The sequence below is a fragment of the Homo sapiens genome, chromosome 6, assembly GCF_000001405.40.
Source record: "Homo sapiens chromosome 6, GRCh38.p14 Primary Assembly".
Classification (NCBI taxonomy): domain Eukaryota; kingdom Metazoa; phylum Chordata; class Mammalia; order Primates; family Hominidae; genus Homo; species Homo sapiens.
This window is the reverse complement of record NC_000006.12, coordinates 43,282,009-43,295,133: the sequence shown is the minus strand read 5'-3', so window position 1 is coordinate 43,295,133 and position 13,125 is coordinate 43,282,009. Positions and strand designations below refer to the sequence as shown.

General features: G+C 53.2%; 1 protein-coding gene across 7 annotated transcripts in view, besides 2 other annotated features; it reads right to left on the bottom strand.

Annotated features, from left to right (window-relative positions):
• Positions 3,929-4,223: an enhancer, noted in NCBI's record as "tiled region #10500; HepG2 Activating DNase matched - State 5:Enh". NCBI's record gives its function as "activates a minimal TATA promoter and a strong SV40 promoter by Sharpr-MPRA in HepG2 cells {active_cell/tissue: HepG2}" and the evidence as "EXISTENCE:reporter gene assay evidence [ECO:0000049][PMID:27701403]".
• Positions 6,876-13,125, bottom strand: part of TTBK1 (tau tubulin kinase 1) — a 44,778-nt gene continuing 38,528 nt past the window's right edge. For 5 of the 7 annotated variants that reach the window (XM_017011364.2, XM_011514947.3, XM_017011366.2 and 2 more), the window contains 2 exons: positions 10,822-12,407; positions 6,876-10,154 (listed from right to left, as the gene is read on the bottom strand). In XM_017011364.2, the coding sequence (XP_016866853.1) occupies positions 9,758-10,154; positions 10,822-12,407 (1,983 nt within the window). In that variant the 3' untranslated portion in view covers positions 6,876-9,757. The remainder of the gene's footprint in view (positions 10,155-10,821; positions 12,408-13,125) is intronic. The other 2 variants (XM_017011365.2, NM_032538.3) reach the window with 1 other exon arrangement.
• Positions 7,606-8,458: an enhancer, noted in NCBI's record as "H3K4me1 hESC enhancer chr6:43254414-43255266 (GRCh37/hg19 assembly coordinates)". NCBI's record gives its function as "activates a minimal SCP1, AML or CMV promoter by ChIP-STARR-seq in naive H9 embryonic stem cells {active_cell/tissue: H9 hESC(naive)}" and the evidence as "EXISTENCE:reporter gene assay evidence [ECO:0000049][PMID:30033119]".

The window sequence follows — 13,125 nt, the reverse complement described above, 5'->3', positions numbered from 1 at the left end:
CTTACACTTTAGGCCTTTTACTCTTTTGCCCCCGCCCCACTGAGTGACCTCAGATGACCTACCCATCTTAATTGGGGCTTCAGTGACCATTAACCATTGCTGCAACCCATGTAGTCATTTCCTACACTGTTGATGGTGGCAATGACAAAATCAATTGCAGTGGTAAGTAGGGTGGTGGATGGTATAATAGTAAGGGAGGTGGGATCCTGGTGATGGAAGTGATGGTGACAGGGGTGATTGGAGTAGAGATGAGAGGATGGGGCTAGGGCCGCTGGTAGTAATGATGTGGTCATGAGGGTAGCAGTGGTGATGAGGATTATGTGATAGATGTGGTAATGATGGTGACAGTGATCTGGTGATGGTAGTGATGATGTGATGGTAATGATGGTAGTGGTGATGTGATGGTGGTAATGTTGCTGGTGGTGATGTGATGCTGACGATGGTGATGTGATGGTGGCAATGATGGTGATGTGATGGTGGTAATGGTGGTGGTGGTGATGTGATGGTCGTGGTGATGTGATGGTCATAATGATGGTGGTGGTGATGTGATGGTGGTAATGATGCTGGTAGTGGTGTGGTGATGGTGGTAATGATGGTGGTGGTGATGTGATGGTAGTAATGATGGTGGTGGTGATGTGGTGATGGTAGTAATGATGGTGGTGGTGATGTGGTGATGTTGGTAATGATGATGGTGATGTGATGGTAGTAATGATGGTGGTGGTGATGTGATGGTGGTAATGATGCTGGTGGTGATGTGATGGTAGTAATGGTGGTGGTGATGTGATGGTAGTAATGATGGTGGTGGTGATGTGGTGATGGTAGTAATGATGGTGGTGGTGATGTGGTGATGGTGGTAATGATGCTGGTGGTGATGTGGTGATGGTAATAATGATGGTGGTGGTGATGTGATAGTAGTAATGATGGTGGTGGTGATGTGATGTTGATAATGATGATGGTGGTGATGTGATGGTAGTAGTGATGGTGGTGGTGATGTGGTGATGTGATGGTAGTAATGATGGTGGTGGTGATGTGATGGTAGTAATGATGGTGGTGGTGATGTGATGGTAGTAATGATGGTGGTGGTGATGTGATGTTGGTAATGATCGTGGTGATGTGATGGTAGTGATGGTGGTGGTGATGTGATGGTGGTAATGATGCTGGTGGTGATGTGGTGATGGTGGTAATGTTGGTGATGTGGTGATGGTGGTGATAATGGTAATGATGATGTTGCTGATGTGATGGTGATGGTGAAGGAGGTGATGACAGTGTGTAAGCTCCCTGATGGCAAGGACCTTGTCTTTTGTTAATCATTATGTCTTCAAAGCCTAGTGGAGGTGATGGTGATAGTTTGGGAGAAAAATGTCTGTGATCTGAGTGAAGACGAAGCTAGTAATGGTGGATAATGAAGACAGAGGTGCGGATTGTGGTAAAATTGGTGGTAGTGGTAATGGATGGTGTTACACCACTGCCGGTTTAAAGGTGAGGAGAAATGCAGAAGATGCCACCTGGAGCTGCTGAAAATGGGCTTACGTCATATGACCTCTAACCCATGGCCAGAAAGACTCTCCTTCCATATCACCTCATCACCTTAGGCAATGAGCAGGCTCCTGAAACTCCTGAGAACTTAGAAAGATGGTTCTAAGTCCTTTAGCCTTGCATTGGCCTCATCTATTGTCCTGGCCTTGACTCATCAGTAGGCCATGGGAAAATCTCAGCAGGCCCCAGCGTCTGATGATTAGAGACACAAGACTCTCCACATTCCCACCCCTGTCTCTTTTCTGAGGGGCCCCTCTCTATCAAAAAAAGGCTCATCTAAATGTCCCTGGTCTGTGGCTCCCATCTAGCCCCTGACAGAGCAACCTTGCTCAAGCCATTTATTTCTCTGTGCCCCTGCCCTCACACCTCTCTTTGACCACAGGACAAAGAAATGTCTTTCTGTGAGGGAACAGGGAGAAGGTCTGCCAGGGACCAGAGAGGCCCTCGCATGCAGAGCATCAGATAGTCCTTGACAGCCAAGCTGGGCCTCGGGAAGTGAATGTGCCTGACAAGTCTCAGGCTCCTGGGGGCAGGAGGTAGGCAGAGGGTCTCTGCAATGCCTTAAAGCCCTGTTCCTTGGCACAGCCTGTCCTGGCTCCAAGCCTGGCCCTACTCCCTCCTCACTCTTCTCTTCCACTCCACGATTTATGCCTGTGACTCCCCACACTGAACTCCATGCAGTCTCGCCCCCCACTCTTTGCCCGTGCTGCTCCCCCATCCCCTGGGAATGTCCTCTCCTCTATCTGGCCAGCTCCTGTTTGTCCTTCAAAATTCAGTCCAAGAGGCACATCTCTCTCTAGGGGTTTTCCTTGAAGCTCTCAGTCTGGGCTGGGAGTTCCTCCCTATGCCTTGAGTATCAAGGCACATGCCACATATAAAATGAAAGTTAATTTCCAATCACTTTTTTTTTTTTTTTTAGAGACAGGGTCTTGCTCTGTCGCCCAGGCTAGAGTACAGTGGCATGATCATAGCTCAGTACAGCATCGAACTCCTGGGCTCGGGTGATCCTCCTGCCTCAGCCTCCTAAGTAGCTAGGACTGCAGGCACATACCATCACACCCAGCCCCAGCCACCTCCTTCAGGTCATGCTGTGCTTTGTCTTAGCGCCTGGTCGGTGCCCGACATCTGGCATAGCCTCTAGCACATGTTGGGCTCAGCAATAGTCTGCAGAATTAGTTAAATTAATGGGTTGGATGAATGAAAGATGGATTAAATAAATAATGAATGAATAACCCATGACATTCATTCATTCAATCTCAATAATCGAGAAAATTAAAAAATACAATAAGGTACCATTTTTATCTATTTAATTATTTGGGGGGGTTTTCTCCTAGAATTAGACTGGAAGAAGTAAGATAGGTTGGAGCCAAGAGTTCTAGTGCCAAGTTTAGCACTATTTGAAATAGTGAAAATAGTGAAAAGTCGGAAAGAGTAATGAAAAACCAATATGGAGCTGGTTAAATAGATTATGGAACATTCATGCCATGGAATATGATGTAGCTATTAAAAAGAACACAAGGATTCTCATGATTGCTGGTGGAAGTGTAAAATGATGTAGCAATTTTAGAAAAGTTTGGTAATTATTCAAAATGTTAAACATATCATTACCATATGATCGAGCAGCAATTCCACTCCTAGGTATATACCCAAGAGAAGTGAATGCATACATCCAAACAAAACTTGTACACAAATGTTCATAGCAGCATTACTCATCAAAACCTAAAGCAGAAACAACCCAAAGTCCATCAACTGACAAATGGATAAACAAAATGTGGTGTGTCCATATAATAAAATATTATTTGGCAATAAAAAGGAATGAAGTACTGATAAATGCTACAATATGGCAGTACCTTGAAAACACGCTAAGTGAAAGAAGATAGTTACCAAAACATCATATATATATACACATATATATGATGGGAGGACCACCTGAACCCAGGGCTGGGGAGGGGCGTCGAGGCTGCAGTGAGCCATGATTGTGCTGCTGCACTCCAGCCCGGGTGACAGAGTGAGACCCTGTCTCAAAAAAAAAAACACATTTCAGAATAGTAGGTATAATATGCTCTCCTTTTTATTTATAATAAATATGTATATATAGACAGAGAGAGAGCTATTAATTACAAACAGGAAAAAGAAGGTCTGAAATGGTACACACCAAGCCATTTGTAAGAGTTACCTTTATGTGGTCAGCTTCATGGATAGGGAGGGGGCTTTTATTTTATATGCCTTTAGCATTTGCCTTTTTACCATAAGTATGTCCTGCTTTTGACAGTTTAAACAAGAAGGAAAGCGAAATCACATGGAGATTCCACTGAAGGCTGATGAATCAGGGCCTAGAGCACGCTGGCATCCATGCCAACAGAAAGAGTGTCCCAGGAGCCAGGATGTTTCTGGAATGCCAGAGAGTGGCCTTCTTGGAGGGACAGCAGGACTTTGCGAGCCTGGGCCTTTTTACCTTGGATCTCAGGCAAAGCCAGGAGCCTGGCCTGGAACCAAAGTTGTTTATACATTGACGAGGTGAAAGATTTACACCGAGTGAACCTAGGGTTCAAAATTCACAAGCTCCTACAGTATGTACACTAGAACAAAGCCTCCTTTCTGCCCAGCTCTCCTGCCCCATGGCGGCCAGACACCTCTCACTCATCTCACCTGCCTTTCCAGACACAAAATTGTACATTATATGTATGCTTCTTTTTCTTATTCTTGGTCTTGGAGACTGGTCCATAAGTGTATACTATACAAACAGACAACTCCTTCATTAATTTTTTTAGAGAAAAAGGTCTCACTATGTTCCCCAGGCTGGAGTCAATCTCCTGGGCTTAAGCAATCCTCCTACCTCAGCCTCCCAAGTGGCTAGACTACAGACACACCGCAGCACTCAGCTAGCCTCCTTCATTTTAGAGTCTCACAGTACCCCATGGTTGGGACCCCATTTTATGGGTGGGCCATGCTCTACTGAGCAGCCCCAATTGGGCATTTAGATTTCTTCTGAACTTTTATAGGTCCATAGTCTCTTATCCAAACTGTTGGGATCAGAAGTACATACATGGTTGTACATGTATGGTTGACCTTTGAACAACACGGGTTTGAACTGCACTAGTCTGCTCATAAACTGATTTTTCTCAATAAAAGTCACAAGTTTTGTGCCTGTCTCTCCTGCTCCCCCTCCATCTCCTCCACCCCTGCCGCCTCTGCCACCCCTGAGACAGCAAGACCAACCCCTCATCTTCCTCCTCCTCCTCAGCCTTCTCAATATGAAGACAGTGAGGATGAACACCTTTATGATGATCCACTTCCACTTAATATTTTCTCTTCCTCATGGTTTTTTAAATAACATTTTCTTTTCTGTAGCTTACCTTATTGTAAGAATACAGTATATAATATATATAAAACATATAAAATATGTGTTAATCGACTGTTTATTATTGGTAAGGCTTCTGGTCGACAGTAGGCTATTAATGAAGTCTTGGGGGAATCAAAAATTATAGGCAGATTTTCAACAGCAAGGGGTTTGGTGCCCCTAACCCCTGTGTTGTTCAAGGGTCAGCTATATATGTGTGTGTGTGTATATATATACACACACATATATATGTATATATGTATACATATGTGTGTATATATATATACACACATATATATACTATATATATGTGTGTGTGTATATATATACACACACACACACACACACACACATATTCAGAAAGGTAATTTAGCATATATTCCATATATTGTAAAATACCCTAATGGTGGGCCGGGTGCAGTGGCTCCCATCTGTAATCCCAGCACTTTGGGAGGCCGAGGCAGGCAGATCACCTGAGGTAAGGAGTTCAAGACCAGCCTGGCCAAAATGGTGAAACCCCGTCTCTACTAAAAATACAAAAATTAGCTGGGCGTGGTGGCAGGCACCTATAACCCTAGCTACTGGGGAGGCTGAGGCAGGAGAATCGCTTGAACCTAGGAGGCAAAGGTTGTAGTGAGCTGAGCCCGTGCCACTGCACTCCAGCCTGGGCAACAAGAACAAAACTCCGTCTCAAAAAAATAAAAAATAATAAAATACCCTAATGGGACTTATCCCATCATCAAACATGTTAATGTTTCCACGGCAAATATGGATGATAAGTGGAATTAATAAAGATTATAAATGGTCTTGTCAGGTTTTTTTTTTATAACAAGTGAGTGTGTGCCAATCTAATGCGAGAAATCCCAGTTTTCAGAACTTTCTGGGTCTCAAAAGTGCAGATGAGGCTTTCTGGAGCCATACAAAGAATACTGCACTGAATAATTTTGGACACATGTAATTTTGCAAGTGTACAAATACATCCACAGGATACAGTTCTAAAGTAGAGAAGCAGGGACACAAGCTATGCTCATTTGTGATTTTGATAGATTTTTTCATAATAATAACTTTGCCTGTGAGCTGATACACTGCATGGTTTTCCAGACACTCTCACTTTTGTCTGTTAACTTTGGGGTAATGAAAATTCTTCCTCGAGAGTGGGAAGGAGGAAGAGAAGCAAATTAAAGGGTACAGGCGGGGTGCAGTGACTCACCCCTGTAATCCCAACACTTTGGGAGGTCGAGGCAGGTCAATCACATGAGGTCAGGAGTTCGAGACCAGCCTGGCCAGCATATCAAAACCCTGTCTCTAGTAAAAACACAAAAATTAGCCGGGCATGGTGGCGCACATGTGTAATCCCAGCTACTCGGGAGGCTGAAGCACAAGAATCACTTGAACCTGGGAGGCGGAGGTTACAGTGAGCTGAAATCACACCACTGAACCCCGGCCTGGGCAACAGAGCGAGACTCCCTCTAAAAAAAAAATAAAAATAAAAATAAATAAATGGTATAAACATACAGTGAGATAGAAGGAATAAATTCAATGTTCGAAAGCTGAGTAAGGTGACGATATTTAACCAAAATGTATTGTACTTGGGTAATGGATGCTGTAAACACCCTGGCTTGGTCACTACACATTATATACATGTCACAAAATTTCTCATGTACTCCATCAATTTGTACAAATAATTTAAAAAACTCTTCCTCCTGGCCTGTCTGCACAAAGCCAGACTCAGGGTCTCTGGCCCTCAGGAGAAGCGTCCAGAGGGCTGTGAGAGTGTACGATTTGCAGTCAGAAGGACAGCAGGACAGTCCCCTTCCTCCTCTGTGACCCTGAGCAAGTTACCTGTGTCTGTCCTGAGCTTTCATTTCCTCCCCTGCCTCCAGGACAGTCCCTCTGCACTTGCCCACCAACCTGTGCTCCACTCTCCTGGCCAGCCCCAGCCCCAGGAACTGGGTTTTGCCTGCCCTCCCTCAGGGAAGAAGAGTCCAAGCCAACAGAAAAAGGTCCACAGGCTTTTTAATGGTGTGATGGCTACTTCCCTTCCGAGACCCGATCTAATCATTGACAGTGGCTTCCAGGGTGTTGGGGTGGGGTGGACAGGTGCAGGATGGGCAGAGGCCATGCAGTGACTGGGAAGGGCTTGGGGAGGGGTGTTACATTCTGTTTGGCATGTAAACATTCTTAGGTGGCTTCCCGAGGGAGGGGAAGGGCAACTCCCTGCTCCCCACCCCATGCCCACCAGGGCTGGTCCCTGGAGTTCAGAAGACTGAGCAAACCAGGCCTCTGTGAGGAGCTGGGAAATGGGGAGCCTGGGGCACAGCCCCTCTCCTCTCCTGTGCCCCCTTCGTGCACGGTGTGGCTGGGGAGGGAAGGCATGTGTTGGGGTGAGCAGACCCTGCATCTGAGTCAGTGACATAGGTTGTTGTGATGGGGAAGTGCTGAGGGAGGTGGTGTGACACTTTTACAGAGGAAGGGCTCAGGACCTGGAGGCCTGGTGGAGAGAATGAATGCTCAGGGGGAGGAGGCTGCAGCTGGGGTTGGGGGCACCGGGAGATGTGGCTTCCTCTGCCCTGGATGCTTCCTGGGGAGAGGCACAGAGGCAGTCCCCTAGGTGACCCCCTCCCCACTGGCCCACTTTCCCTCCCCCACCTCTCCTGGTGACATTCAGTGACTCAGAGGCCTGAGGTCAGTTGGGAGCCCTAGGGAGGTTTGGAATCCCAAGGGCAGACTGGGTTTTGCGTCTCTGCCAGCTCCAGTGCTGAGTGAAGCTGGGGGTAGAATGGACCTGGGGCTCTCTCAGGCCCCCTTCTTCCTCCCAGCTCCAAACCAGGGTGTTGTTGGTCCTGGGGCAGAGGTGAGGCTGGGGGCCCTACATTCACGGTTCGGTTGGTGGCAAGGAGCAGGCCCAGGGCCTGGGCACCAGGAGTCATATCCTGGTCCCCACCTGGCACGAGCTGATTGTCATTCGGAGAAGCTCTAGGTGGGAGGCAGTGGCCCTTCCTCCACTCCCTCTGCTGGACCCAGAGGGCAGTAGAGGGCCTTGGGAGGGCCTCAAGTTGACAAGGAGGGCTCTGTCCGGAGAAGTTTCCTGAGTGTTCTGGGAGCTTCTGCATCAGCGTGGGGTGGACGTCAAAGGCTGTCCACCCAGGAGTCCTCCCCTCAGCTGGTCTGCAGAGAAGCCACCACCCTGGCCTGGAAGTGGCTGCCCAAGCTGCTGACTCTCCATGAGGGGGAGGCTGCTTTCAGGGTCAGCTGCCTTGTGGGCATCCTTCCGGGTGATGGTGGCTGGACGCAGCCAGACTGCTGGGGCACACTAAGGCCTTTCTTCCTCTTTCCCTGGATGTCTTGGCTTGCTCTCTGTGACTCAGGGAAGGACAGAGAGGCTAGGCCAGGGGACAGAGGCTGCAGGGGCCTGTCCAGATAGGCAGGGCTGGCTGTCCCATCTGCAGCCGGTGTGCTGCTTGCCCCAGATGTAGGCAGTTGAGGCTCATGATGAGGTGGGGTGAGCTATGCAGGAGCCAGAACCCAGGAAGAGTCCCCACATCCATTCCTGGAGTAGAGCAGCTGCACGGGCTGGGGTCAGGGCAAGAAGGAACAGGCTGAAGGGTGAGCTGAGGGAAGAGTGGGCTTGGGCTGGGGACCCATCACTCAAGCATACAATCTGGAAGTTAGAAGGGCCTTTCTGCCTCCAGGGGCCAGCTGTCTGTTGGTCCACCTGTCTCTGCTCTCTCTGCCCATTGCGGGAGACGATGCCTGAGCCAGCCCTCCCTCCCTCCCACAGGCGGGAGGACAGGGAGGGTGACCCCACCAGAACTGAGTCCCCGAATCTCCGAAGGGCCAGTGCAAAGATGGTAACCAGCCAGTCTCCACCTGCTTTGAACTCAGGAAAGAGCAGGTTGGCTGGAACTGCAGTAGGCAGGACTGAGGTTAGATGACAGGAAGGAATTCCTGATGGTGAAGGGTCCTGAGCACTAGATCAGGGGAACAGGGGAGGGAGTAAAACTTTGTTAAAGCCCCCTCCAACTTCCCACTGGGAAATACTTGCCCAGGAAGGCAGCCCACACACTTCCTATGGTTCCCACAGAGGCTCCACCCAAATCTGGAGGCAAGAGGTTTCTGCACCCCAGAGGTGCAGGGGAGCACATCCCCTGCCCACAGAATCACCTGCCCACCCATCTCCAAGATCACTTGCCCACTGCCTCTCACCGAGTTGTCCAGGATGGAGCCAACTTTGGGGCAGGTCAGACCTGCCCCCTCACACCTGAGTAGACCGATGTTCCCTGGGTCCCCAACCCAGCCTGGCAGTCCAGAGGCCGTCCCTGGCCACAATGGCTCCCAGAAGACTGTGGGGCTGGACCCTCGCGGGGAGGCTGGAGCCTCCACTTCTGGAATTTGAGGCTGCTTCTCTGAAGGGGTGGGGGGACTTTGGCTGGAAAGGGGTCGGAGGAGGGCAAGGCGCCGCAGGAGGTGTAGGCAGAGATTGCTGGGGGAGCATGGAGCGTAGCCTAGGCCTGGTGGGCGAACGAACCAGGCGTCCCCAGAAGTGGAGTCCTCGATGAAAAGTGGCTGAGCCTTCCCCGGGGCGGAGAGACTGATGTGAGGCTGGCCGGCCTGACGGGCGGCGGGAGGATGAGAGGACACAGGGCGAGGAAGGGGAGGCAGACCCTCCCCGCGGCGCGGGGCCGCGTCCCCCACGGGCCCTAAGGCCTGGCGGGGCGCCGCGTGTGCTCGCGCGCGTCCTCGCGGGTGCAGGCGGAAAGCTGGGGCCGCGGGTGGCGCGCGTCGGGCGCGTAAGGCTGTGCTGGGAGCTGCTCCAGTGTGGCCGGCTGCGGGTGGGGGGCCGGGGTGAGGGTGGGGGACCGCGGAGAGCAGCGGGCGTCATTATCTGGCCCCAGCCCGGCCCTCCGCGCCTCCTGCCCGGCCTTTGGTTGTTGCGCGCTGAGCCTGGAGTTTCCCTCTGGGTCCTTTCTTGGAGCCCCCGGGGGAGGGGGTGCCATCAGGCTGGGCCCGGGCCGGCGGGACGCCCCGGGGCGGGGGGACCCCGGGCCGGGCCTGGTGCGAGGGGGAGGGGCTCTCTCTGCGGGACAGGGACTGGCTCCGGGGGGACGCGCTGGCATTGCGCGCGGCGGATGTGGACGCGGGGAGGCGCGGGCTGCGCGGCGCTGGGGGCCTGGCTCCGGCTTGGGCTCGCCCTGGGCCCAGGCCGCGGCCAGGAGGTTGTTTGGGGCGGAGGTCAGCAGCAGTGGCCGACCCTGGGGGCGTCTGCAGCTGGAGCCTGCTTGAGAGCAGAAGGCAGGAGAAAAGAAGAGGGCAAAGAAACAAAACAAGGAGAAATATTTCAGAATCCTCCTGGGCACTGAGCACTGGAGTCCGGCATCCTCAGAGCTGAGACTGAGACCATGGCACAGATGGGTAAACTGAGGCCTGGCTCTCTGTCCTCCAGGGCAGGACCTCGAGGGGCCACACGCTTCCAGGCTGCTGCTGGAAGAGCCTGCTGCTGGCTTTCTTTGGGGTCCTCATTTCATCTTTAAAATTCTCATGGATTTTGCATTCTAACCTAGAATATACCTATGTTTATATTAATATGAAATAATGTTTTCTCCCAAGGAGTCAAAGCACTGGGCTTTATCCTTTGGCTTCCAATGCCCCATGGCATACCAGAGGCTGTGTGTGGACCCACTGGCCCCCATCAGCTTTTCCTAAGCCTGGCCTCTCCGGCACCCCCTCCACACATGCTTACTGAAGCCACTTCACTGAGCCCAGTGACAGGGCTGGAACCCGAATCAGAGTGAGGCAGAGCACAGTTGGGAGGTGCTGGACAGGAGGTGTCACTGAGGGTCCCTCCTGATCTTCCATAGCCCCTGACCTTGGTTCTGGAGAAGCCCCTCCTGGTGGAGGCCTGTGGCCACCCTCTGCCCACCCTGGGGCTGGCAGCGGTTTCTCACCTGCTGGTGATGGCTGTGTCCAATGCTGGGGCCGCGCCATGGGATCTGCTGGCGGGCTGCTGGGCTGCAACAGGCATGGGCATGCGGAGGCCAATGGGGCGGGGAATCCGGCTCCTGGTGGCGGCTGCCCTCCCGCTCTTCCTGGGCAAGGCCGCTGCCGGCTCAGAGGCGGGCGTGTCCTCCTCAGAGCCCGTGCCTGAGAGGGTCTCAGAGGCACGGCGCTGCTCCTCACTGGAGGAGGACGAGGCCCCTGAGGCCAGCCGCAACAGCAGGCGGCCCTGCCTCTTCTCCATCACCAGCCGCGCCAGGTCCTGCTGCGGCCGAGCCCGCTTGCTCCACCGCTCTTTGGCCGACAGTGAGCCTGAGGGCTCCGAGCCCGTGTCCTCCTCAGAGAGCAGGACAGGGATACGGCTCCTGGGGCGAGAGCCTGGCATAGCATGGCGTCTGGGGGAGATGGTGGCCACTTTCTCAGGGCTTGGCTCCAGCGGGGACACCGGGGCTGGCCCGTCTGCAAGGGCCGGGCCATTGGGCAGTGAGTTTGTGGCCATCTCTGAGGGGGTTTCCCGGGGGGCCCCAGACAGGGCAGAGCCCTCTATCTCAGCCCCATTCAGCCCTGACAGGGCGAGGCCGTTCTCCAGGGGCGCTCGGGCCCCCTCCTCCACAGCGCCCCCATCAGAGGCCAGCTCCAGACCCAGCTCGCCCCCAGCGCTGAACTCCTCAGACCGCAAGGCTTGTCCACCGGAAGACATGACGTTGAGGTGGGTTTTCTCCGCAATGTGCACAAAGGTCCTCTCAACTTTGGTGAAGGGTGAGGAGGTGACTGCCACGCCCCCGACCCCTGTGGTCACTGTCCCGGCCCCCAGCCCTGCCCCAGGCCCCGGGGGCTTGGGCTCAGACTTGAGGACAGAGGACAGGGTGCCTGGCTCAGATACGTCCAGCTGGCTGCCCGTGGGCTGGGGCCGCTCATGCTGAGGAGTGAGGGCAGCCAGGGTGCCCAGGTCGGGGTCGGGGGCCAGTTCGGCAGTGACGGGCGACTTCTTCATGTCGCCAGGAGAGACAAGCACCAGCGTTTTGGAGCCCTCCTCAGGCTCCAGGTCCCCATCGGCCATGGAGGCCCGGCCCCTGGACTCCTTCTGATCGTCTGCCAGCAGCGTGGACGGGGCACCCTCCTGGCTCCGGTCAGTGCTCCTCTCACTCCCCTCACTGCTGGAGCCACTACGAGGCCCCAGCACCTCCCCCAAGGCAACTGCCGCTGCAGCCTCCTCCTCCTCTTCCTCCTCCTCCTCTTCTTCCTCCTCCTCTTCCTCTTCCTCCTCTTCTTCTTCCTCATCCTCTTCTTCCTCTTCCTCATCTTCCTCCTCCTCCTCCTCTTCCTCCTTCCCATTAGCCTGAGGCTGAACAGGAGCCAGTGGGACCTGGGGGGTGGTGAGCAGCATGTGCGAGAAGCCCACCCTCCGGACCCTGTTGAGCAACCGCGCCCGTTCTCGGTAATCGGAGAGGTCTCTTTTGAAGTCCTGGTAGGGCAGACTCAGAGGCACAGCTCGTGGGAGGCCATTCACCTCAAATGGGGGCGCCACGGAGAACACCTGCAAGGGGCATACACAGGGACCCTCTGAGGTCACCCACCCTCCTGGGCCCAGGAAGACTTCAGCTGCACCCACAACCTAGGAGACTCACAGGCCCAGGTCGTCTACCAGAGTGTGAGCTCCATAAAGTTAAGCACAGGCACTGGGTCTGTCTTGTTCACTGCTCTGTCCCCAGGGCCTAGAATGGTCTCTGGCGCCTAGTGAGTGCTCAGGAAACCTCTGATGAATGACTGTCCATGCTCTAGGTCCCCTGAAGTCCCAGGCCCTGATCCTGGTGGCCTTTCTGCCTCCCAGCCTCTCTATGTCCCCAGCCCCTCTCATCGCCATGTGCATCCTGCACCCGAGTCAGCAACAATAACAGAAAATGAAAACTGGAAGGAACCACGACCACCACGCAGATCAGCCCTTCCTTTTACAGATGAGAAAGCCAGGTCCAGAGACGGCGGCAAGTATCTGTGCCACTTCCTGGATGGGCTGTGCCGGGCTGGCTCCTAGATGCCCTCAGTACCACCTCAGGGTGTGCAGTTTCTCTGTGGCCAGAGAGCTGGCTGCCCAGGGCCACCAGATCCTGTGCTGGACAAGGGCAAAGGCGGGGCTGTCCTCTACCCTTAAAAGTGCAGGCTGGGCCCCTCGACCTCCAATCCATCCTCTCAGCCAGGAATTTGTCCAGCCCTCGACAGGTATACTTGAGCTCCATTCCATTTTCCTCTTCAAAGTT